Here is a 23,710-nt window from a genome sequence, read left to right as displayed (position 1 = left end):
ATGGGTTCCCAAGGCCTTGGGCAGCTCCACCCTTGCAGCTTTGCTGGATGCAGCCCACGTGGCTTCTTTCATGGGTTGGAGTTAAACGCCTGTAGCTTTTCCAGGCTCAGAGTGCAAGCTGCCCATGGCTCTACCATTCTCAGGTCTGGAGGGTGGCAGCCCACTTCTTACAGTTCACTAGGCAGTGCCCCAATGGGGACTTTGTGTGGTAGCTCCAATCCCAAATTTCCTTTTGGCACTTCTCTTATAGAGGCTCTCTGTGGGGCCCCTGCAGGAGCCTTCTCTCTGGAAGGCTTTCTGATACATTCTCTGAAATCTAGGTAGAATATAGCAAGCTTCCTTCACTCTTGCATTTCATATACCTGCAGACCCAACTCCATGTGGAAGCCACAAAGGCTTATAGCTTACAGTCTCTGGAGCAGTAGCCCATGCTGTATCTGGGGCTGTTTGAGCCCAGGATGGCTCTGCTCAGATTCTGAGAGCAGCGTCCTGAGGTGGCATAGGGCAGCAGTATCCTCAGCCTGGCTCCCCAAAACATTCTTTCCTCCTAGGCATCTGGGCCTGTGATGGGAGGAGCTGTCTTCAAGATTTCTGAAATTCCTTTGAGGACCTTCTCCCATTATCTTGAATATTGGCACTTGTCTCCCTTTTAGTCAAGCTAATCCCTCTAGCAAGTTGTTGCTCCACAGTGCATTTAAATTTCTCTCTAGAAAATGCACGTTCCTTCTCTTCCACATAGCTAGAGTGTGAATTTTTCAAATTTTATGCTCTGCTTCCTTTTTAATTATAATTTCCAACGTTAAGTCATCTTTTATGCTCATATATGATTGTACGTTGTTGGATGCACCCACACTAATTCTTGAATGTTTTGCTGCTTAGAAATTTCTTCCACCAGATACCCTAGGTCACCACTCTTAAGTTTAACTTTCCACAAATCTTTAGGGCATGGACACAATGCAGCCAAGATTTTTGCTAGGGCATAGCAAGGATACACTTTATTCCATTTTCCAATAGATTCCTCATTTCCATCTAAGGCCTCATAAGCCTGGCCTTCACTATCCATACTTCTATCAGTATTTTGTTCACAACTATTTAGCAAATCCTAAGTAGTTTCAAACTTTCCTTCATCTGCTGTCTTCTTATGAGACTTTCAAACTCTTCCAACCTCTGCTTGCTACCCAGTTCCAAAGCTGCTTCCCATTTTCATGTATCTTTATAGCAACACCCCACGTCTGTATTAGTTTTGTGTTGTCATTAATGAATATCTGAAGCTGGGTAATTTATAAAGAAAAGAAGTTTATTTGGCTCACAGTTTGCCAGGGTCTAACAAGCATGGCAACAACATCTGCTTGGCTTCTGGTGAGGACTCAGGAAGGTTTTATTCATGGTGGAAAATGGAAGAGGAGCAGGTGTGTCACATGGTGAAAGAAGGAGCAAGAGAAACATGCCAGACACTTTTAAAGAGCCAGCTCTTTCATGAACTAATAGAGTGAGAACTCACTCATTACCCAGGAAGGACACTAAGCCATTCATAAAGGATCCATCTCCTTGACCCAAAAACCTCCCATTAGGCTGCAGCTCCAACATTGAGGATGACGTTTCAACATGAAATTTGGAAAGGACAAACATCCAAATCATGTCAGAGACATAAAACATAATTGAAATTCAGGATAACAGTATTCAGTCAAATCTTATATGGTTTATCATGAACAACTTTCAATTTAGTCTGTTGAAGCATACCTCTCACCCATGGTAATGTCTACAAATTTCTTTGCTTTCATCCTTTACTCCCAGTTTTATTGTACATATCTACAATTTTCTTTAATATCCTATTATGTTACAACTTATTAGCTTCTATTCATTTCTCCTTCATACTCAATTGTATTTCCAATTTGAGTATTTATAGTATTTGGAGGGCTGAATACAGGTGGCTGCATTATTATTCTGTTATTATTACTAGAGCTCTAAAATTTTAGATAAAGTCTTATATACTACCAGCCTTAGATTTTCATATATGCTTGATCTTAATTAAATATTGAGGATGTTACATACTTGACCTGAACCAAAAACATAAAAGCAATGACCTTAGAGATGAAAGCCAGAAGATGTCCCAGAAAAGAAGGGAACATTGCTATTAATGGTAACCTGGGAAGTGGCAGAGAGATTTTAGTAATTTCAAAACAAAGTCTTTTGAAATATTGCTAATATATTCTAACACCAGTACAATTAATTCAGAATATATTATAAAAGGGGCAGTGTATAGCTATGTTGTCTTTGTACATAATATACATACAAACACTCACTTGAGTATCCCAATTTGTCTGTGAAATATCTCTACTCTTTTAAAAAACTCATCCAGCAGTGTAAAAGTGTTCCTATTTCTCCACATCCTCTCCAGCACCTGTTGTTTCCTGACTTTTTAATGATCGCCATTTTAACTGGTGTGAGATGGTATCTCATTGTGGTTTTGATTTGCATTTCTCTGATGGACCCAGCCATCCCATTACTGGGTTTATACCCAAAGGATTATAAATCATGCTGCTATAAAGACAAATGCATACGTATGTTATTGCGGCACTATTCACAATAGCAAAGACTTGGAACCAACCCAAATGTCCAACAGTGATAGACTGGGTTAAGAAAATGTGGCACATATACACCATGGAATACTATGCAGCCATAAAACATGATGAGTTCATGTCCTTTGTAGGGACATGGATGAAGCTGGAAACTATCATTCTCAGCAAACTATCACAAGGACAAAAAACCAAACACCGCATGTTCTCACTCATAGGTGGGAATTGAACAATGAGAACACATGGACACAGGAAGGGGAACATCACACACCAGGGACAGTTGTGGGGTGGGGGGAAGGGGGAGGGATAGCAATAGGAGATATACCTAATGCTAAATGACGAGTTAATGGGTGCAGCACACCAACATGGCACATGTATACATATGTAACAAACCTGCACGTTGTGCACATGTACCCTAAAACTTAAAGTATAATAATAATAAAATTAAAAAAAAAGAAATCCTAGAGAATTAAAGTACCCTCATGAGGCCCAGGTCCCTGCCTGGGATCCACCAAGTACCCCTGAATGCTTACCATAAATATTTCTTTATAGTTTATGCTGCAATGGAATGCTTTCACTTACTATTGTGTGACTTAGACTAATATTATTATTGCTATTATTATTACTATACCATTATCCTAAGGACTCACACAGAGAATGAGACAAGGCTCCCATTTTCAGCTGTGAGGTCCAGCAAGTTGCAGGAAGGACAGGACACAGAGCAGGGCTGGTTGCCCTGGGTTCTCCAACTTCAGTTCAGGGTGGTCCTGGAGGACCAGGAGACCAAGCCTCAGGCAGCCCCTGCATCAAACCTCGGCATCAAGTCCTCACCTCTTTCTATATGATGAAAATGAAGTTCCCTTCCAGCCCACTCTACAAACATGTGCCCTTTTCAAAATTCACCAAGAGAGAAATGATCTGGAGGAGATTATGCAAATACTCCATCCTTTGCAGGTGAACCCCAATTTAATAAATATGCATCTGATTAATAAGGAAAAAAATTTAAAAAATTTAAGAACTCATCCAATAAAATGGTATAACAGTTAAAAGATATTTATGCATTTACCAAATAGGTCCTTATCTTCAATGATTGCCATCTCAACTTCTTTTTTGGTAATGATTGTGCACGTGAAAGGAACTTGAAGAAGGACGCTAATCTCACCAAAGGACTCCTTCTCCTTAAGTTTCCCCATATAAACAAGTTTTTGAGATCTTTTCTGTTAAAAAAATATATTATTGATGTTTAATGCAACTGCTTCCATATAATGAATCAGTATTGTTTTTATCAGAAACTCACTCATAAACCATTTTACTAAATGATATTTAAAATAAATTAGCAATTGTATTTAAATTACAGAAAAATTTACTTACATAAGCATTTCAATTATATTAGAGCAATAGTAAATTCATAGATAACTTAGGCATATCTAAGGTAATTGAAAGCATTGTCCTTTAGAATCCACAAAGATGTTTAGGAAATATTGAACTAATTCCACATTTCAAGGATCTAGGATATCATTTTGTGAGCATAGTTTCATTTAAGATGTTTTGTCAACCACTGTTTGTTACATCAGCCCTAGTCACAAGGCACTCTTGTTGAACCCACAGGGAAGAAGGAAAATAAGCAGAAAATGCCAGGGCCAGAACCGATGGTATTAAGTCAAAAAGGAGGGATTATTCCCTGTCTTTTCTGTTTAAGTACAAAAGAAACATGGAAAATGAGTTTGACTCAGGGAACTATAATTTTGGTTCAAATAAGAGACCTTGTGGAGAAGGGCCTACAGGATGTTCAATATGAATGGTTCTGGAGAAAATTTTGAGACCTCAAATTACCTTTGCGGGGAGATTTGCTAGGAGTTGATGACCACTAAGATATATAAAAGAGAATATAGCCCTCAGGTAGGAAAGTGGCAAGAACTTGGAAGAGGCTAAAGCATTTACTAAATAACCTGGAGTCAAATCCAATATAACTTGAATATTTGCACCTATATAAATGGCAAATCTTTACACTGAATATGATTAGTGCAGCAGAATTCAAGTTAGTTTAGATATTTAATTGAATTCCATTGAAGTCTCCCTGACCAACTAATGATTAGTTCTAACTTTTCTACCACAGTAATTATATATTTTTGCCTGTTCTAGAACTTCATAAAAATGGAATTATATAGAACATGCTCATTCAGGTTTGGCATTTTGGCCCTACATAGTATGTTTGAGATTCTTACAAGTATCCATAATTATTTTTACTGCTATGTGGCATTTCATAGTATAAATATACTGTAACATTTCTATTCATTCAACTGTCAGTGGATACGTGGACTACTTCCAGTTTTTAGTTTGTAAGAATTCATATAAGTTTTTTTTTTTTTTTTTTGAGACAGAGTCTTGCTCTGTAGCCAGGCTGGAGTGCAGTGGCACAATCTTGGCTCACTGCAACCTCCGCCTTCCAGGTTCAAGCGATTCTTCTGCCTCAGCCTCCTGAGTACCTGGGACTACAGGTGTGCACCACCACACCCAGCTAATTTTTGTATTTTTTAGTAAAGACAGGGTTTTGCCATGTTGGCCAGGATGGTCTCGATCTCCTGATCTCGTGATCCGCCCGCCTCGGCCTCTCAAAGTGCTGGGATTACAGACATGAGCCACTGTGCCCAGCCCTAGGATTCATATAAGTCTTCGTGTAGACATATGTTTTCACTTCTCTGGAGAAACTATCTGGAGTGGAATTAGGTCAAATGATTAAGTGCATCTTAGCCAATCTGGTATGTTTGTAGTAGTACCTGGCTATGGTTTTAACTTGCATTTCTCTAATGAATAAGAACGTGAAGCATATTTTACTGTGTTCATTGATCATTTGTATATCTTACAAATCAATATATCTTACAACTTATATTCTTATATCTTATAACTAAACCAAAAACAAACACAAAAATTTCAAAAAATTGAATAGAAATTTCACAAAGTAATACAAATAAATGTCTAGTAAGTACATGAAAAGGTATCTGACACTATTCTTTAGAGTAGATTAATTGATTAAAAAGAATACATGTTGAAAACTTACCACTTTATTTGATCGTAGTTTCACAAATCCTATAATACTTCTATAAATGTTACAGCATCCAGAGTTAATATAACCCACAAAAGAAATTATATTTCCACTTTCCACTATCACTGAAAAGAAGAGAGATAGTTCATTTCACACATTCTTGTCTTTAATAAATTATTTTAGATATTTTAGCAACAAAAGTTAATGTATTTAATTCAATAACTATTAATAGTAAGTTTCTTAATAGATTCCAGTTTATAGACAGTACTTAATACAAGATGTAAAAGATTACGCCCAGTATTTATATCTCTAACATAATACATGTAATATTGCAAACACTGACAAGACTTTGGCAGTAAAGGCACTGATATGCTAGTATACTGTACAATGCAGGAAGGAAAGGGGAATATAGAAGAAACCTTGATCTGTAGCATTTGCTGAGTTCCAAGGTCTAAATATTTCCACCATGGCTCATTTGAAATTTCTGATAGTTTAATAACAAACCCACAATATTGATAAATATTTGAAAATTCACTTTCCAGAGCCTATATCTTGGGCTGTACTAACACTCTACTGATTATAGTAGCAGTTAAAACAAGGGCTTTGAGGCCACATTGGCCCAGTTTGAACCTACTCCGCTACTTCCTATGTCACCTTAGATAAATGACATAACCCCTCTGAGCTTCAAATTTTTCATCTTTAAAATGGAAAAATTAATTAGGAGTCCTTACTTTAAGCCTTATATAAACCACATGGGGCATATAAAGTATTTAGCATGTTGCCTGGTACACAGTATAACACAATATCATGTTATTACAATAAATCGATGTTATTATCATTATTCTTTCAAACTTGTAAAGTCACTCTAAGGCCAAGATACATTTGAAGGTGAATTCTATTATAACTTTGTAACTATCAACGTATTAAAATAAAAATCCCTTGATCTACATAACATTTTAAATTATCATCATGATTTAAATACTTGGCAATATATAAATTAAAATTAGTATTTCAAAATATTTTCTACGTTATGAAATCTGAAACATATCAATATTTAATTCTGAAAACTTTAAACACAGCAGTAGTAACCTAAATATAAAGACACATATACAACTTTATCATAATTTTATAAAGTATATAAACTATCAAAAACAAGTTTTTTGATCACTTGAAGGCATCCCTATTTGTTTTCTAGCATAAAAGAGCATATATCAACATAATAAAAATTATTGATGTTACCAAAATAGTAAAGAAATTAGAGCACAGCATAATTCTTTAAAAATTATGGCTAAAATAACACGGTAACAATTGTTAAATATAATTTACCACCAGCAAAAAATAAACATCAACATACAATGGAATAAGTACTTCAAGATAAATGAAGTGGGATTCAATAATTTTGTTGGCATAATTATGAGGATAGTCTATCTTTTTCTCCTCATGTAATAGTTACTTCAATATTTATAATAAAAAATTAAAAGGTTATTCTACTGTTGTCAATCATTTATTTTGTTTAAATAAAAATTTATGGTAACTCTTCTGTTGTCTTTTTTTACAGCAGAAAATGATATTAAAATTATATTACAATGTAAAAGTATAACGTATGCGTAGAATTATGTGAAATATTTTCTCACAGATTTTTCTCTTAAAAGTAAGAGGAACTCTTCCACCAAAACATATGATAGTAGAAACTATGTATCTTCTTTTAGTCAATCAGCAAGGATATAAAGAAAGGCATAGAAGCTCCTAGCAATTGTTATAGATAAGGAAATAATGCACTTAAACATGTACCAAAGAAATCCATTATTTTTAACTATGAGACCTGTACTACTATAATTCTTGGAAGTCAAACCCTATGTAGGTCACAGAGAAGTATATATAACAACAAAGAGGAATAAGGCCACAGGAATTTTTCTTTGTGTTGAAGTCAAGACAAAATTGGAAAACCCAAACCATTGTTGCAAAATCTATGACGCAGTCTCATTCCCTAGAGGGGGAACTGGCTACTCGAATCATTGTCTATGGTCTTTATGATAACCATAGCAAATATTCATCTCAATGAAGACAATACAGCAAAACCCTCCTGACCTAGGCAAAAAACTTGAATTCAAATACATATAAAAATCATATATTCTGGTCAGGCGCGGTGGCTCACGCCTGTAATCCCAGCACTTTGGGAGGCCGAGGCGGGCAGATCATCTGAGGTCAGGAGTTTGAGAACACCTGGCCAACATGGCGAAACCTCGTCTCTACTAAAAATACAAAAACTAGTTGGGCCTGGTGGCGCGCACCTGTAATTCCAGCTAATCGGAAGGCTGAGGCAGGGGAATAGCTTGAACCCAGGAAGCAGAGGTTGCAGTGAGCTGAGCTCATGACACTGCACTCCCACCTGAGCGACAGAGTGAGACTCCGCCTCAAAAAAAAATTGTATCTTCACACTTAAATAAGAACATTTAAATATTAATATTACTATTTTGGACTAGAAACAGAATCATGCAATTACTCCCTACCCTGATTGTTGTTCCTAATTTTACTCATTCAGCCTCTGATCATGTTTTCCATTTTTAAGAACTTATGCTGTCAAGATAAATGTTGTTTGGATACCCTTTCCTCCTCCCTTATATAGAAAATGACAAATAACATACGATGATCTGCAGGATTGTAACACATTTTTAAATGAAAAGACTTAATCATGAACTATATAGACAAAATTTTATTTATTATTATCTCAAGGTCATATTCATTTATGTTTACAAAATGTAGTGGAACTTGTAGTTAAAAGTAATATTTAAAGACCCTTATCAAGACTCAGACTCGGAAGACCTGAAAGCATTAGATCATTATGAAAAGAACAAACTTGATTTTATCTTAAGGCAAAGGAAAAGAAGAATATCAGAAGGATTCACAGAAATTAAACATCAGGCCTTGTTCCTTTTCTTTCTGTTGTTTATCATACGCCCAGAAATAGTCCCAAGTCTAATAAAATCATTTTATTCTAATTCTAAATTAAGCCAGAAGAAGTTACGATAAGAAGAATAATTCCCTACTGGCTATTAGCATCAGCACTGGGATAGTGAAGGTCTCAGTTTAAATAGAAACTAATGATTAGAGAGATTATTAAAGGACATCCTCTTATTTTAAGATAAACCTCAGCCTACTAGTCTAACATACCAAAACAGGTTTGGAACAGGAATATATCTCAGGATGGACAATGCCGAGGCAACTTTGAGCACGACATCCATTAGCTGAATGGATTCCTCTCCTTGTAAAGATAGACTACTAAAGGAAGAAAAGTATAAAGTAATAGTACCAATTAATGTTATCTTTGAACTTTATTTTCCCTTTTGAGAATGTTTTCTGAATATATTCTCCTTCCAAATATATATAGTTTGCTTTAAAAATGTTAAGAAATAACTTGGTTAGAAAGGGCTTTACATCTCTGTAACAGTCCATACCAATGCGAATACCATGTAAACATCAATACTTTACCCAATATTAAACACTACTTCTTTATTATTAAAAATGTATATTTATTTGCAGATAAATATAGATAGCATTTATAGCCCTGTAGAGCAAATTCTTAAAGATAAGTGCATCTGAGAAGAATGAAGTTTTGATTAATTTCCAATTATACAATGCCTTCTGAATTCTGTGGCACATTTAAAGAGGTTGTTCTCCTAAAGAATGAATACTATACACAAAATATCCCTTGTATATTAAGTACCTGTCACTTGGCATAAGAAAAAAATAAATGTACACTTATCTAATGTTAGAAATGTGTGATTTGGAAAACAGTTATAGACAAACCTGAGGAAATCTAGAGAAATACAAATTAAAAAATTAAATTTTGAATATGCCTCAGAGACTTCCAAAGAACTTACTAAAATAATATATTTATAGAATTAGTCACAGAAATTATCAGAATATGGTTACTCACTGCAAAATAGGGAAGGTGAAGAAGGGCAATATTTGGTATTAGAGATCCCCTCTTACTATCTATTGCTCCCACATTTACCCCTTTCTCCCCTTCTCAGCAGGCAATGTAAGACAAATGCTATGTCTATGGAGCCATCTACAGATCAAGGAAGAAGAGATTATCCAGATTTGATGTCCAGCCCAATAACCAATTAAACCATACATTTACCTCATCTTTCTTACCAACTTTAAATCTTTGCCCAAATCTCACATTCTCAATGAGATCACCGTGACTACTCTATACTGCTCCTTCTAGCTTTTCATCCTTCTCTGTTGCTATCCCCAAGGTGTGTGTTGCCATCTAAGTTATTGATTTGTTTATTGCTTATACTTATTGTATAAGTTATTGATTTGTTTATTGCTTATACTTATTGTATATTATATTTTCTAGCCATTAGGATGCAAGCTCCATCAAGGCAAGGATATTTATCTTTTGTTCACTTATGTATCTACATATAGGCACTCAACAAATATTTGTTGGAAGAATGCATATTCTCAAGAATCTCAACATTAAACAAAGGTTTTCTTGAGCATAAGGAAAAGCTCAGAATATGGTGGCTTAGATTTTTCTGAAACCCTTCCCCAAGTAGTCCTCCTAAAAATTCTGGATAAAATATTTAAAACTATATGAGGTGGCAGAACAGCAACAGAATTTATCAAAAAACATTAATAAAAAGAAAGTGTACAGTTGTATCTGTCTGGCGGTGGGTAAGAAAGCCCTGGAGGCAGTAGCAAAGTACGTGTGAAAGATCAAATGTGGAAATCCTCCTACATAAGCCCCCAAAGAGCAATACTCTCAGTGGGTGAAGTGGAAAAAGCCCACCTCAGAGAAAGAGCTCCTGGAGATATTTTCCTCTCTTGGTCCTGGCTCTGAATTAAATGAAAAAACAAAAAGGTAGCAAGTCTCTGAAAATTTCTCACTCATGATATTGGGGCTAGAGTCCATACCACCTGTGAGGCAATAAAATCCTTTAACTAAACATTCATTTTCAAACCATACTGGGTTTTAGTGACTCTGAATGCTTGGAATAAAGGAAAATAAATTATTTCTGAATGAATTAACCTTATCCCAAGCTTCAAAGAATCTCTCTATATAATAAGATGCTATTTTAGGGAATATAAACTCTCAATGAAATACATGCTCTATTAGCAAATATATTAGTATATCAGCACATAGTCACTATACTCTTAAAAACATGTCTACATACATATATATATATGCAGACACACTATTATACATTTTTGTGTATATATATGTATACTTTCTATGTGTAGCGAATATACACATAGATAGAGACATCACAATGATGAAATAGCAAATATAAGACTACACTTATGGAAGAAAAAGAGATTCATAATTGGCCAATTGGATTACAAAAAATAACCAAATAGAAATTTTAGAAAAAATATAATTAATAAAAGTATTATTAAATTAATATTAAACACATATCAAACCTGGATTCTCAAATTTTATGAAGAAAATTAAGTATAATGGCCAGGCACGGTGGCTCACACCTGTGATACCAGCACTTTGGGAGGCTGAGGTGGGCGGATCACCTGGAGGTCGGGAGTTCAAGACAAGCCTACCCAACATGGAGAAACCCCATCTCTACTAAAAATACAAAATTAGCTGAGCGTGGTGGCGCATGCCTGTAATCTCAGCTACTTGGGAGGCTGAGGCAGGAGAATCACTTAAATCAGGGAGGCAGAGGCTGTGGTAAGCCAAGATCTCGCCATTGCATTCCAGCCTGGGCAACAAGAGTGAAACTCTGTCCCCCCCACAAAAAAAAGAAAAAAAAAGAAAATTAAACAAAACATGACTTTTTATATTATAATCAGGGCCATGAAACTGTAACACAACCAATATATTTCCATTTCAAAGAACTATGCATTTGAATATCAGTTTATTTTAATCAAAATTTAGAAATTAATTAGTCACCTCTTTATGCAAGGTAGAAATACTCCTTAACTTCTTTTTATTTTCAGTAGTCAACAGACTTAATTACTCTGGGTGTACTCATCAAGATTTTTATTGATACTCTGTTGAAATCACAACTAGTTTTGGTGGAATTTTATGTTTTTGATATTCCAATTTAATTTTTAAGTCTTTTTTATGTTTATTTCATAAAGAGCTTGCATTTTCATTAATTTTCTTGCTTAGTTCAGTTTCGAATCTACAATTCTGACACCATTTAAGTGATACTTCTCATTATTTTGAACAATTATTGTTGATTATATAAATTATGACTTATTGATTGCCTGAAATGAAAATTGATTCTTGTTGATGTAGTCAGAGGGAAGGTTTTAAGGAAAAGACTGACAATTGACCCAAAGTCAATTGCATTTAGACACCACAGTCAAAATAAACGAAGTCAAGTGACTGATACTTGGGGGACTTCTGGCTATGCAGAAGGGGTAGAGCACCAAAAAAGAATTTAGATAGCAGTACCAAATGACTGATTAGATGCTAAGCAAGTAGAAACATTAAAAGGGAAATGTTTCAAATAACATAAGAATTGTATGATTACCAAGTTCCAAAAATATGTGTGATTCACTAATATAACCCTTCAGTTTTTCTAGCACTATGTTGAATCTAAATACACATGGAAGGATGTACTTAAATAGATAAGTGTATATGCTTCATTTCAATAAGATATTGTGTGCTAGGGAAAGTATGTTCAGCCTGACATTCTGAATCAAAATTCTATTTTAGCTGAAGTAGTTAAATGACTTTGTGTCACAGAGTTTGTTAGAGCATCAAAAGAGATACTCTAACTTAATGTGTAAGGCACAGTGCACTATAACTAGCGCAAAATCAATAGAAGGAAAATATTTTCATATTTGTGTCAAAAGGAGAAGTTTCTATGTTTTCAGTTTCTGTAATCATATTTAGTCATACATTCTAGTTAACCAGGGTAACTGTCCATTTAAATATTATACACTGATTAGTTACCTCATCCTAACACTGCCTAACTACCTATAATGATTTCAGTTCAATTATTTAAGCAGCATTGTTTCAGAGATGAATAACTACTATTAATTGAACTGGTCAAAGGAAGTACATGGATGGTACCATGCAACGCATTCACTCACTTGTACCAAGTGTACAGTATGAGTAATTTTTTTGTTATGTGAAATAATGACGTACCTGATTAATTTCACAATAATTAATTTAGATTCAAGACATATTCTGCTTGGTTTACATTAAAGTAGTCTACACAGGGGCAGGTAAACCATTTGTAGTAAAGAGATTTATTTTATTACATCTTGGTTATTTAAACTCAAATGAATTCGATCACTATATGTAAAATCATATTTCATACAGATATTGGTGACCCAACCTTCATTTCTGTACACAATAGTGACAGTAAATAACAGTGAAAATTTTTAAAAATTATTTTTTGAAACAATCTTAAAATGATATGATAAAATCCATTTCTATTTTTAAACTGAAATGTTCATGTTTTTCTTATTAGACTTTGTAAACTCCTTCTTAATACATCTCTTTTGTAATAGTATTTTTGATTATTCTGAAACTATTATTTTACCCTTAATCTCATTATTTTGTATATAGAACCACTGAATAAAAATTGCTTACCCATATTTTCTTCCTATTGATATTTCATTAATAACTAGTTCATTTGAAATAATTTTTGACACATTATGTTGGGTTAAATAACTTGATTATTTTTCCTGTTTGTACAGATAATTTTCTAACACATTTTATTTTAAAAATTACTGGCCTTTTCCCACTGATTTATGACACTTCCTCTGTTACAAACTACATACCATTCTATACATTAGAATATTGACTATCTAGTGCTCAAATCAAAACCTAAGCAAAGAGCATGAAAAAGTTGTTAGAGCTTTTATAGGAAGTAATTTATAATATGTATCAAGTATGATATATTTATACACATTGAGGAAATACCATTAATTGTACAAAATTTTCTTAGGAAAAAAATCAGGTAAATATCTACATATTTATATATTAAGTATACAAAACTGTATTTCAGACATTTTAGGCAATGTAAATGGTAATCAAAAGGTAAATGATTAAATTATGAAAACCCATAGAATATATTATACTGCCAATAAGTTAATATTTTTTAAAATGATTACTGATAGAAATATGCTCACTTTTCAATGTGCAATGAAAAAGTGTTCCACTAACTTTATAGTATTCAACTTTGTTAAAATGTACAAAAGCTCTCTGCTCCTTAATTGAAAGCCTAAACAACACATAGGAAAGGTTAACAGGAGATGTTGACAAGAGTATAGTTATAAGTTACATGTTTTATAATCTGTTTTTTGTTGCGGGAAGTCAGGGACCCCGAATGGAGGGACCGGCTGAAGCCATGGCAGAAGAATTAAGTTGTGAAGATTTCATGGACATTTATTAGTTCCCAAAATTAATACTTTAATAATTTCTTACGCCTGTCTTTAATCACTTAATCTCATCATTTTTGTAAGCTGAGGATGTATGTCACCTCAGGACCCTGTGATGATTGTGTTAACTGTACCAATTGTTTGTAAAACGTGTGTTTGAACAACATGAAATCTGACCGTAAAACATGTGTGTTTGAACAATATGAAATCAGTGCACCCTAAAAAAGAACGGAATAACTGCAATTTTCCAGGAACAAGGAAAGATAACCATAAGGTCTGACTGCCTGCGTGGTTGGGCAGAATACAGCCATATTTTTCTTCTTGCAGAAAGCAAGTAGGAGAAATATCGCTGAATTCTTTTTGCAGCAAGGAATAACCCTGGGGAAGGAATGCATTCCTGGGGGTAGGTCTATAGATGGCAGCTCTGGGAGTGTCTGTCTTATGCAGTCGAGAGAAGGACTGAAATATGCCCTGGTCTCCTGCAGTACCCTCAGGCTTGCTAGGATTGGGAAATTCCAGCCTGGTGAATTCTAGTCAGACCGGTTCTCTGCTCTCAAACCCTGTTTACTGTTAAGATGTTTATCAAGACAATGCGTGCACAGTGGGACATGGACCCTCATCAGTAATTCTAATTTTGCCCTTGCCTTGTGATCTTTATGGCCCTTTGAAGCATGTGATCCTTGTGACCTACTCCCTGTTCGTGTGCCCCCTCCCCTTCTGAAATCCCTAATAAAAACCTGCTGATTTTGTAGCTCGAGGTCGCCATCACGGCCCTACCAATATGTGATGGCACCCTCAGAGGCCCAGCTGTAAAATTACCTCTCTTTATACCCTTTCTCTTTATTTCTCAGACTGGCTGACACTTAGGGAAAACAGAAAGAAACTATGTTGAAATATTGGGGGCTGGTTCCCCCAATAGTTTTTCTCAAATGTATACATAATGTTTACATTATTTTCATAATTAGATAACATAATTACATTTTCTAAAATAATTTTAAAATAACTGATTCATAATGTAGTAACTGAGAGAAATATACTCTAATTAAAGAATACAAATAAATTGGTTTCAAACAAGACAGTGGAATAGGAAGCACCAGACTCTTACTCCTCCCATGGAGACACTAATTCAACAAGAGTACACAGATGAGTTTTCTTTTTTTTTTTTTTCTTTTTGAGATGGAGTCTTGCTCTGTTGCCCAGGCTGGAGTGCAGTGGCACAATCTCAGCTCACTGCAAGCTCTGCCTCCTGGGTTCTGGCCATTCTCCTGCCTCAGCCTCTCAAGTAGCTGGGACTACAGATGCCTGCCACCATGCCCGGCTAATTTTTTGTATTTTTAGTAGAAACAGGGTTTCGCCGTGTTAGCCAGGATGGTCTGGATCTCCTGACCTTGTGATCTGCCCGCCTCGGCCTCCCAAAGTGCTAGGATTACAGGCGTGAGCCACTGCGCCAAGCCCAGATGAGTTTTGTTTGTAAGAAACCCAGAAATCCATTAAGAGGCTTCTGTATCTGAGTGAACATGAAACCACCACATAGATTCTTAGTCTGTTTCGTACTGCTATAATAGAATATCTAAGACTGGGTAATTTATAAAGAGCAGAAACACATTTTTTCACAATTCTGGAAGCTGATAAGACCAATATCAAAGCACCAGAAAGTTTGGTGTCTGGTAAGGTTTTGCTCTCTACTTCCAAGATTATGTCTTGTTGCTACATCCTCCAGAGGACAGGAAACACTTTTCTTCACAAGAGATCAGAGCAAAAGGAAAAGAGAGAGCAAGAGGGATTGGGCTTGCCCATTTATGATTGCACCAATCCCATCAAAGAGGGTGGAGCCCTCATGATTCAATTACTTCTTAAACATTCCACCTCTTAATACTATTACAACAGCAATAACATTTTAACATGAATTTTGTAGATGGCAAAGATTCAAACCATAGCAGAAGACTATTAGAAGAGTTTACACTACCCTCTTGTCATAGTGTTTCTACCCCCAGCACAGCACTATGTGATTAAGAGAAAACTCCCAGCAACCAGTTTCCCCCTAGGGATGGAAAAAAAGACTGAAACATACATTCAATGTTCACACTTTTAAAGAAGACAGGAGCTGCCAGAGGAACAGACATTGTCTCATCTCTCTCAGAGCACTGATGAGACCCAGCATACTCTAGATATCTGGGTGTCATTGAGAAAAAAAGAGCTGGGAAGCATTCTGCTTCTCCAGAGGACCAGTGCTACAACAAGCAGACACTAGGGAGAGCAAGAGGTTATGAGTGCCTAAGGGGAAAAACCAAAAATAGAAAATATCTTGAATTAGAAATTTACAAGCACAAGTCCAAGAAGATACATCTAAAGAAAAGGCTTGAGAAGCCCAAAGAATCTCTTGCCAGGCTAAGTGATAAAAGTCCTTCCCTGTATGAACGTATGTATGAAAAATTAAAGAGATAGATAGTTGTATTTTCAAATACGCAGATACTAACACATATTTATAAGAAACATGAAAAAAATGGGAAAACTGATGAATCAAGATATAAATAAATAAATAAAACTTCAGAAACTGACACTAAAGAAATGGCGGTATAGGAGTTACCCAACAAAAAATTCAAAATAATCATAAGCAAGCTAAGAAAAACAATATGTGAACAAAATAAAAATTTTGATAAAGAGAAAATATAAAAAAGAATCAAATGTTACAACTCAGGAATAGAATATCTGAATTAAAAATTCACTAGAGGGGATTAACAGCAGACTTTATAAAGCAAATTAATCAGTGAACTTGAAGATAGGTAATTTGAAATTTTCCTGACAGAAAAGCTTAATAACAAGCAAAAGGAAAAAAAACAACAACAGAAAAAGAGTAAAAGAGTGAAGAAAAATTAAATGATTTATGGATATCATCAAGGTGACCAACATGTGCATTATGAGAGTTCCCAAAGGAGAAGAGAGAGAAAGAAACAGAAAGTTTATGTAAAGACATAAGGGCTGAAAACTTTCCAAACCTGGGGAAAGAAGTGGACATCCAGATTCAGGAAGCCCAATGCCTCCCAAATAAAATAAATCAAAAGAACTCCACACCCATACAGACACAGAATCAAAGACAATTTGATTTTGATAGGCAAATTGTCAAAAGTCAAAGACAGAGTTAATTTTGAAAGCAGCAAGAAAAATATGAATTATCACCTACTAGGAAACCTCCATACGACCATCAGCAGATTTCTCAGCAGAAACATTGAAGGTCAGAAGAAGATATAACATATTCAATGTTGAAAGAAAAGTGCCATCAACAAATATAATTAGATGCAGCAAAACTATCCTTCGAAAATGAAAACGAGAGGGATGTTTCCAGACAAAGCTAAGCGAGGTTATTATAACTAGACCTGCCTTAGGCAAAACATGCTAAAGGGAGTCCTTCAAGTTAAATTGAAAAGATGCTAAACCACAACATGAAAGCATATGAAATTATAAAAATCACAGGTAAAGATTACTATAAAGACAAAAATAGAATACTGTAATACTATAACACTGATGCATAAATCACTATTAATTTTGGTATAGAAGTTAAAAGCAAAATGAATAAAAATTATAATTATAGAAATACGTTAATAAATAAACAGCATCAGTAACATAAATGTGAGAAGGGAGAAGAGTAAAAGTGTAGACTCATTGTATGTAATTGCACTTAAATTGTTATCAGTTTTAAATAGACAGTTATAACTATAAGGTGTTTTATGTAAGCCCCACAGTAACCAAAGGAAAAAAGGAAATATATATTAAAAATACAGAAAAGAAAACCTGAAGGAAATCAAAGCACATCACTTTAAAAAATTAACAAAATGAGATTTATGGTTCCTGATCCAGTATATAAGAAGCTTGGAAGTCACCACTTCATCTTAATAACAAGCAAAATGCTGAACAAACTGAAATATCAGCAACTCTTCATACATCCTTAAAAAAAGTGAGGTCACAGAGAAAACCACTGCCCCAGAAATTGGAGAGATTGATACACAAAACAGACAATCAAAACTTAACAGAGCAGAAACCCATAAGCTGAAATTTCCATGGGAAATGACGCGAGCGTAGGGAAACCTGAATTGTAACTGACAAATTGTTGGAGCTTGGTGTGGGCAAGCCTGAGACACAAAAACTCCAGGGAGAACCCATTACTATGATGCTCGAATTTTTATGAGTTTTTACATCCTGGAGTTTTAGCATGTACTTATAGTAAGTATCAGATAGTAATCACTTGGTTCTTCCAGTGAGGGGAGGGGAAGAACAATTTGAAATACTTCAGAGCATTTCATTCTCCTTAACAAGATCTTCTCTCAAGAGAAATGGTTTAATCGAACTCTAATCTGCTTGACCTGAAGGAAGAAAAATATTCAACTCTAACTCTAGCTTTCCACTTGGAGGAAAGGAAATACCAAACTGTAGCCCATTTTAGGCCTCTGGTCCCACCTAAAGGAAGAGAAAACTGTGAAGCACATGTGAAGTTTACAGTTCAGAGACATGGGCTTACTAAAACACTGAGGTCTGAGTATAGGATTAAGAGCACTTCCCCTCACCCACACACCTTACAACCACATTACTAAAGGTCTATTTATAGTAGTGTCTTCTATCCAGTACATCATGTCAGGCTACAAAGAAAAATTACAAGACATATTAACATGACTGAAAATTTCTTCAAATGAACGTCAAAGATCAAACCACAGATCCAGGAAGCTCAAAAAACACCAAACAAGATAGCTGCAAAAACAAAAATGAAAACCCAACCTACCAAATAACAACAAAACATATCTAACTATATACTTTTCAAACTAGAAAAAAAAAAACAAAGAAAAAATGAAAGAAAGCAGAGAATAAAAAATACGTTACCTATAGAGGAGAATTACATCTGACTTCTCAGAAATCATGCATACAAGAAGAGGTTGGAGTAAAATATTTAACATGTTGAAAAACAAAACAAAACAAAACAACAACAACAACAACAAAATCACCAACCTTGAATTCTGTAACCTGAAAAATTATCCTTCAAAAGTAACGAGGAAACAATTAATTTATCAACAAATGAGAGAATTTGTTGCTGTCAGACCTGCCTTGCAAGAAATATTAAAAGAAATATTTAGAGAAAAGGAAAATGATATAAAACAGAAACTCATATCTATATAATGAAAGGAAGACTGTCAGATAATAGATATTTATGCTTATGTATAAGCAAAATTCATTATGGCAATGATATAAAGGAAGAGAGGGAATAGATTATTTCATTCTTATAACGTTACTTAAAGGTACTCACACTTTCTGTGAAGTGGTATAGTATTATTTGAAATTAGAATCAGATTAGGTTTAAGTGTATATTGCAAACTTTAAGGCAACCTCTAATTTCTTTTAAGTACACCTGATATGCTCAGTGAGGACATAAAAAATTAAATCATATAAAATAATAAAATTAGGAAAGTCAAAGACAATATAGAAGACAAAAATAGAAAAACAAGGGTGACAAATAGAAAACTAACAAATATTGGTGGGTGGGGTCAAGATGGCTGACTAGAAGCAGCAGCAATCAAAGAATCCCATTGGAAAGATACAAAGCAGCATGCAAATCCTGCACCCAGCAACCGAGGTATTCAGGTTCTGTCATTAGAACTGACTAGGTGGCTGGCATGATCCACGAAGAGGAAGAAAGAACACTGTGGTGCAACAGCTCACCTGAGAGCCACACGGGACACCTGAGAGCCCCCACCCCCAGCCAAGGGAGGCAATGAGTGAGTGTGCTGCCCAGCCTGGAAAACTGTGGTTTTTCCACAAAAGTGTGCAACCAACAGATTGGAAGATCACACTCAAAAGCCCATGTCACCAGGGCCTTGGGTCACCACCATGGAGCCACACAGATTCTCAACAGCCACTCAGCTAGAATTGGCCTAAGCCAGGGGGAGGGAATGGCCATCACCACTGCTGAAGCTGCCTGCAGTCTAAGCCATCTGAGCTCCTTGGGGGAGGGGTGGCAGCCAACACTGTGGCTGCAGGGCCTCCCTGTAGGAAATCCAACTCCAGCTAGAAGCTCAGGGACAGAACTCTGATCTCCCTGGGTCTGAGGACCTAGTTGGAGGGGTAGCAGAAGTCCCCACAAACCAGCAGACTTAATCTTTCCTCCTCCTAGCTCTGATAACTCCGGGCAGCCCAGATGAGTGTGTTTCCCCCCAGCACAGCAAACACCCTCCACCAAGGGACAGCCAAAGTGCCTTGTTAAATGGGTCCTTCTTCCCATCCCACCAAGCTGGGTAAGATCCCACAACAGGGATTATCAGACATCCTATACAGAAGCATTCCTACTGGTATCAGGTCTGTGCCCCTCAAGGTCAGAGATCGCAGAGGAAGGAGCAGGCACCCATCTTTGCTGTTCTCCAGCCTCCTTGAGTGACATCTCAATGTGTGGGAGTAAACTAGATGAATAGGACCTGAAGTGAACCCCCAGCAAACCGCAGCAGCCCTACAGAAGAGGGGCCTGACTATTGAAAGAAAAACAAACAATCAGAAAGCAATGACAGCAGCATCAACAAAAAAAGTCACCAAAAAAACCTCATCCAAGGGTCAGTAGCTTCAAAGACTGAAACTAGACAAACTCAAAAAGATGAGAAAGAATCAATGAAAAAACACTGAAAATCCAAAAGGCCAGAGTGGCTCTTCTCTAAATGATCATAATACCTCTCAAGCAAGGGTGCAGAACTGGACAGGGGATAAGATGGAAGAATTGATAGAAGTAGGCTTCAGAAGGTGGGTAATAACAAACTTCACTGAGGTAAAGGAGCATGTTCTAAACCTATGCAAAAAAGCTGAGAACCTTGACAAAATGTTAGAGGAGCTGCTAACTGGAATTACCAGTCTAGAGAGAAACATAAATGACCTGATGGAGCTGAAAACCACAGCACAAGAACTTCATGAAGCATACACAAGGATCAATAGCCAAATTGATCAATTAGAAGGAAGAATATCAGACGGAAGACCATCTGGCTGAAATAAGGCAGGCAGACAAGATTAGAGGAAAAAAGGGGAAAAGGAATGAAAAAAACCTTCAAGAAACATGAGACTATATCAAAAGACTGAACCTACAACTAACTGGAGTACCTGAAAGGGACAGGGAGAATGGAACCAAGTTGGAAAGCACACTTCAGAATATTATCCAGAAGAACTTCCCCAACCTAGGAAGACAAGCCAACATTCAAATTAAGGAAATAAAGAGAACTCCACTAAGACACTCCATGAGAAGATCAACCCCAAGACACATAATCATCAGATTCTCCAAGGTTGAAATGAGTGAAAAAATGTTAAGGGCAGCCAGAGAGAAAGGTCAGGTCACCTACAAAGGGAAGGCTATCAGACTGATAGTGGATCTCTCAGCAGAAAACCTACAAGCCAGAAGAGAGTGGGGCCAATATTCAACATTCTTAAATAAAAGAATTTTCAACCCATATCCAGCCAAACTAAGCTTCAGAAGCAAAGGAGAAATAAAATCCTTTTCAGACAAGCAAATGCTGAGGGAATTCATCACCACCAGGCCTGCCTTGCAAGAGTTCCTGAAGGAAGCACTAAATATGGAAAGGAAAAACCAGTACCAGGCTCTGCAAAACACACAAAAAATATAAAGACCAGTGACACTATGAAGAAACTGCATCTACTAGTGTGCAAAATAACCAGCCAGTGTCATGACGACATGATAAAATTCACACATAACCATATTAACCTTAAATGTAAATAAGCTAAATGGCCCAATTAAAAGACACAGACTGACAAATTGGATAAAGAGTCAAGACCCATTGGTGTGCTATATTCAAGAGACCCCTCTTACGTGCAAAGACACACGTAGGCTCAAAATAAAGGGATGGAGGAAAATTTACCAAAAAAATGGAGAGCAGAAAAAAGCAAAGGTGGAAACCCTAGTCTCTGATAAAACAGACTTTTAATCAACAAAGATCAAAAAATACAAAAAAGGGCATTACATAATGATAAAGGGATCAATTCAACAAGAAGAGTTAAGTATTCTAAATATATATACACCCAATACAGGAGCACCCAGATTCATAAAACAAGTTCTTAGAGACCTACAAAGAGACTTAGTCTCCCACACAGTAATAGTAGGAGACTTTAACACCCCACTGTCAATATTAGACAGATTAACAAGACAGAAAATTAACGAGGATATTCAGGATTCAAACTCAGCTCTGTATCAAGTGGACCTAATAGATACCTACAGAACTCTCCATCACAAAAGAACAGAATATACATTATTCTCAGTGCCACATGACACTTACTCTAAAATCGACCACATAATTGGAAGTAAAACGCTCCTCAGCAAATGCAAAAGAACTGAAATCATAACAGTCTCTCAGACCATAGTGCAATCAAATTAGAACTCAGGATCAAGAAACTTGGCTGGGCACAGTGGCTCATGCATGTAATCCCAGCACTTTGGGAGGCCGAGGTGGGTGGATCATGAGGTCAAGAGACTGAGACCATCCTGGCCAAAATGGTGGAAACCCCGTCTCTACTAAAAGTACAAAAAATTAGCTGGGCATGGTGGTGGGCACCTGTAGTCCCAGCGGCTCTGGAGGCTGAGGCAGGAGAATCACTTGAATCCAGGAGGTGGAGATTGCAGTGAGCTGAGATTGCGCCACTGCACTGCACTATGGCCTGGCAACAGAGCGAGACTCCATCTTAAAAAAAAAAAAAGAAAAGAAAAAAGAAAAGAAAAGAAAAAAGAAAACTCACTCAAAACCACACAACTACATAGAAATTGAACAACTTGCTCCTGAATGACTACTGGGTAAATAACAAAATTAAGGCAGAAATCAAGTTCTTTGAAACAAATAAAAACAGAAAAACATACCAGAATCTCTGAGATGCAGCTAAAGCACTGTTAAGAGGGAAATTTATAGCACTAAATGCCCACATCGGAAACCTAGAGATATCTCAAATCAACACCCTAATATCATAATGAAAAGAACTAGAGAAGCAAGAGCAAAGAAATCCAAAAGCTAGCAGGAGACAGGAAATGACTGAGATCAGAGTGGAACTGAAGGAGATAGAGACACAGAAAATCCTTCAAAAAAATCAATGAATCCAGGAGCTGTTTTTTTTGAAAAAATTAAAAAATAGGTTGCTAGCTAGACTAATAAAGAAGAAAAGAGAGAAGAATCAAATAGACACAATAAAAATTGATAAAGGGGATATCAACACTGACCCAAAGAAATACAAGCTACCATCAGAGAATGGTATAAACACCTCTATGCAAACAAACTAGAAAATCTAGAAGAAATGAATAAATTCTTGGACACATACACCCTCCCAAGACTAAACCAGGAAGAAATTAAATCCCTGAATACACCAATAACAAGTTCTGAAATTCAGGCAGTAATAAACAGCCTACCGACCAAAAAACAAAGAAACAAAAAACCCAGGACCAGATGGATTAACAGCCGAATTCAACCAGAGGTAAAAAGAGGAGCTGGTACCATTCTTTCAGGAACTATTTCAAACTATTGAAAAGGAGGGACTCCTCCCTAACTCATTTTATGAGGCCAAGATCATTCTGATACCAAAACCTGGCAGGAACACAACAAAAAAAAGAAAACTTCAGGCCAATATCCCTGATAAACACTGGTGCGAAAATCCTCAATAAAATGCTGGCAAACCAAATCCAGAAGCACATCAAAAAGCTTATCCACCATGATCAAGT

At 36.1% G+C, this 23,710-nt stretch overlaps 1 protein-coding gene across 2 annotated transcripts in view, besides 1 other annotated feature; it reads right to left on the bottom strand.

Annotated features, from left to right (window-relative positions):
- The window catches only part of CNBD1 (cyclic nucleotide binding domain containing 1), a 562,238-nt gene that overhangs the window by 71,224 nt on the left and 467,304 nt on the right, over positions 1-23,710 (bottom strand). For both annotated transcript variants that reach the window (NM_173538.3, XM_017013149.2), the window contains exons 9-10: positions 5,635-5,744; positions 3,643-3,793 (exon numbers count right to left, since the gene is read on the bottom strand). In NM_173538.3, the coding sequence (NP_775809.1) occupies positions 3,643-3,793; positions 5,635-5,744 (261 nt within the window). The remainder of the gene's footprint in view (positions 1-3,642; positions 3,794-5,634; positions 5,745-23,710) is intronic.
- Positions 14,321-14,836: an enhancer, noted in NCBI's record as "OCT4-NANOG hESC enhancer chr8:88354821-88355336 (GRCh37/hg19 assembly coordinates)". NCBI's record gives its function as "activates a minimal SCP1, AML or CMV promoter by ChIP-STARR-seq in primed H9 embryonic stem cells {active_cell/tissue: H9 hESC(primed)}" and the evidence as "EXISTENCE:reporter gene assay evidence [ECO:0000049][PMID:30033119]".

This window comes from Homo sapiens, chromosome 8, assembly GCF_000001405.40.
Source record: "Homo sapiens chromosome 8, GRCh38.p14 Primary Assembly".
NCBI classification, from domain to species: domain Eukaryota; kingdom Metazoa; phylum Chordata; class Mammalia; order Primates; family Hominidae; genus Homo; species Homo sapiens.
This window is presented reverse-complemented; position numbering and strand designations above follow the sequence as displayed.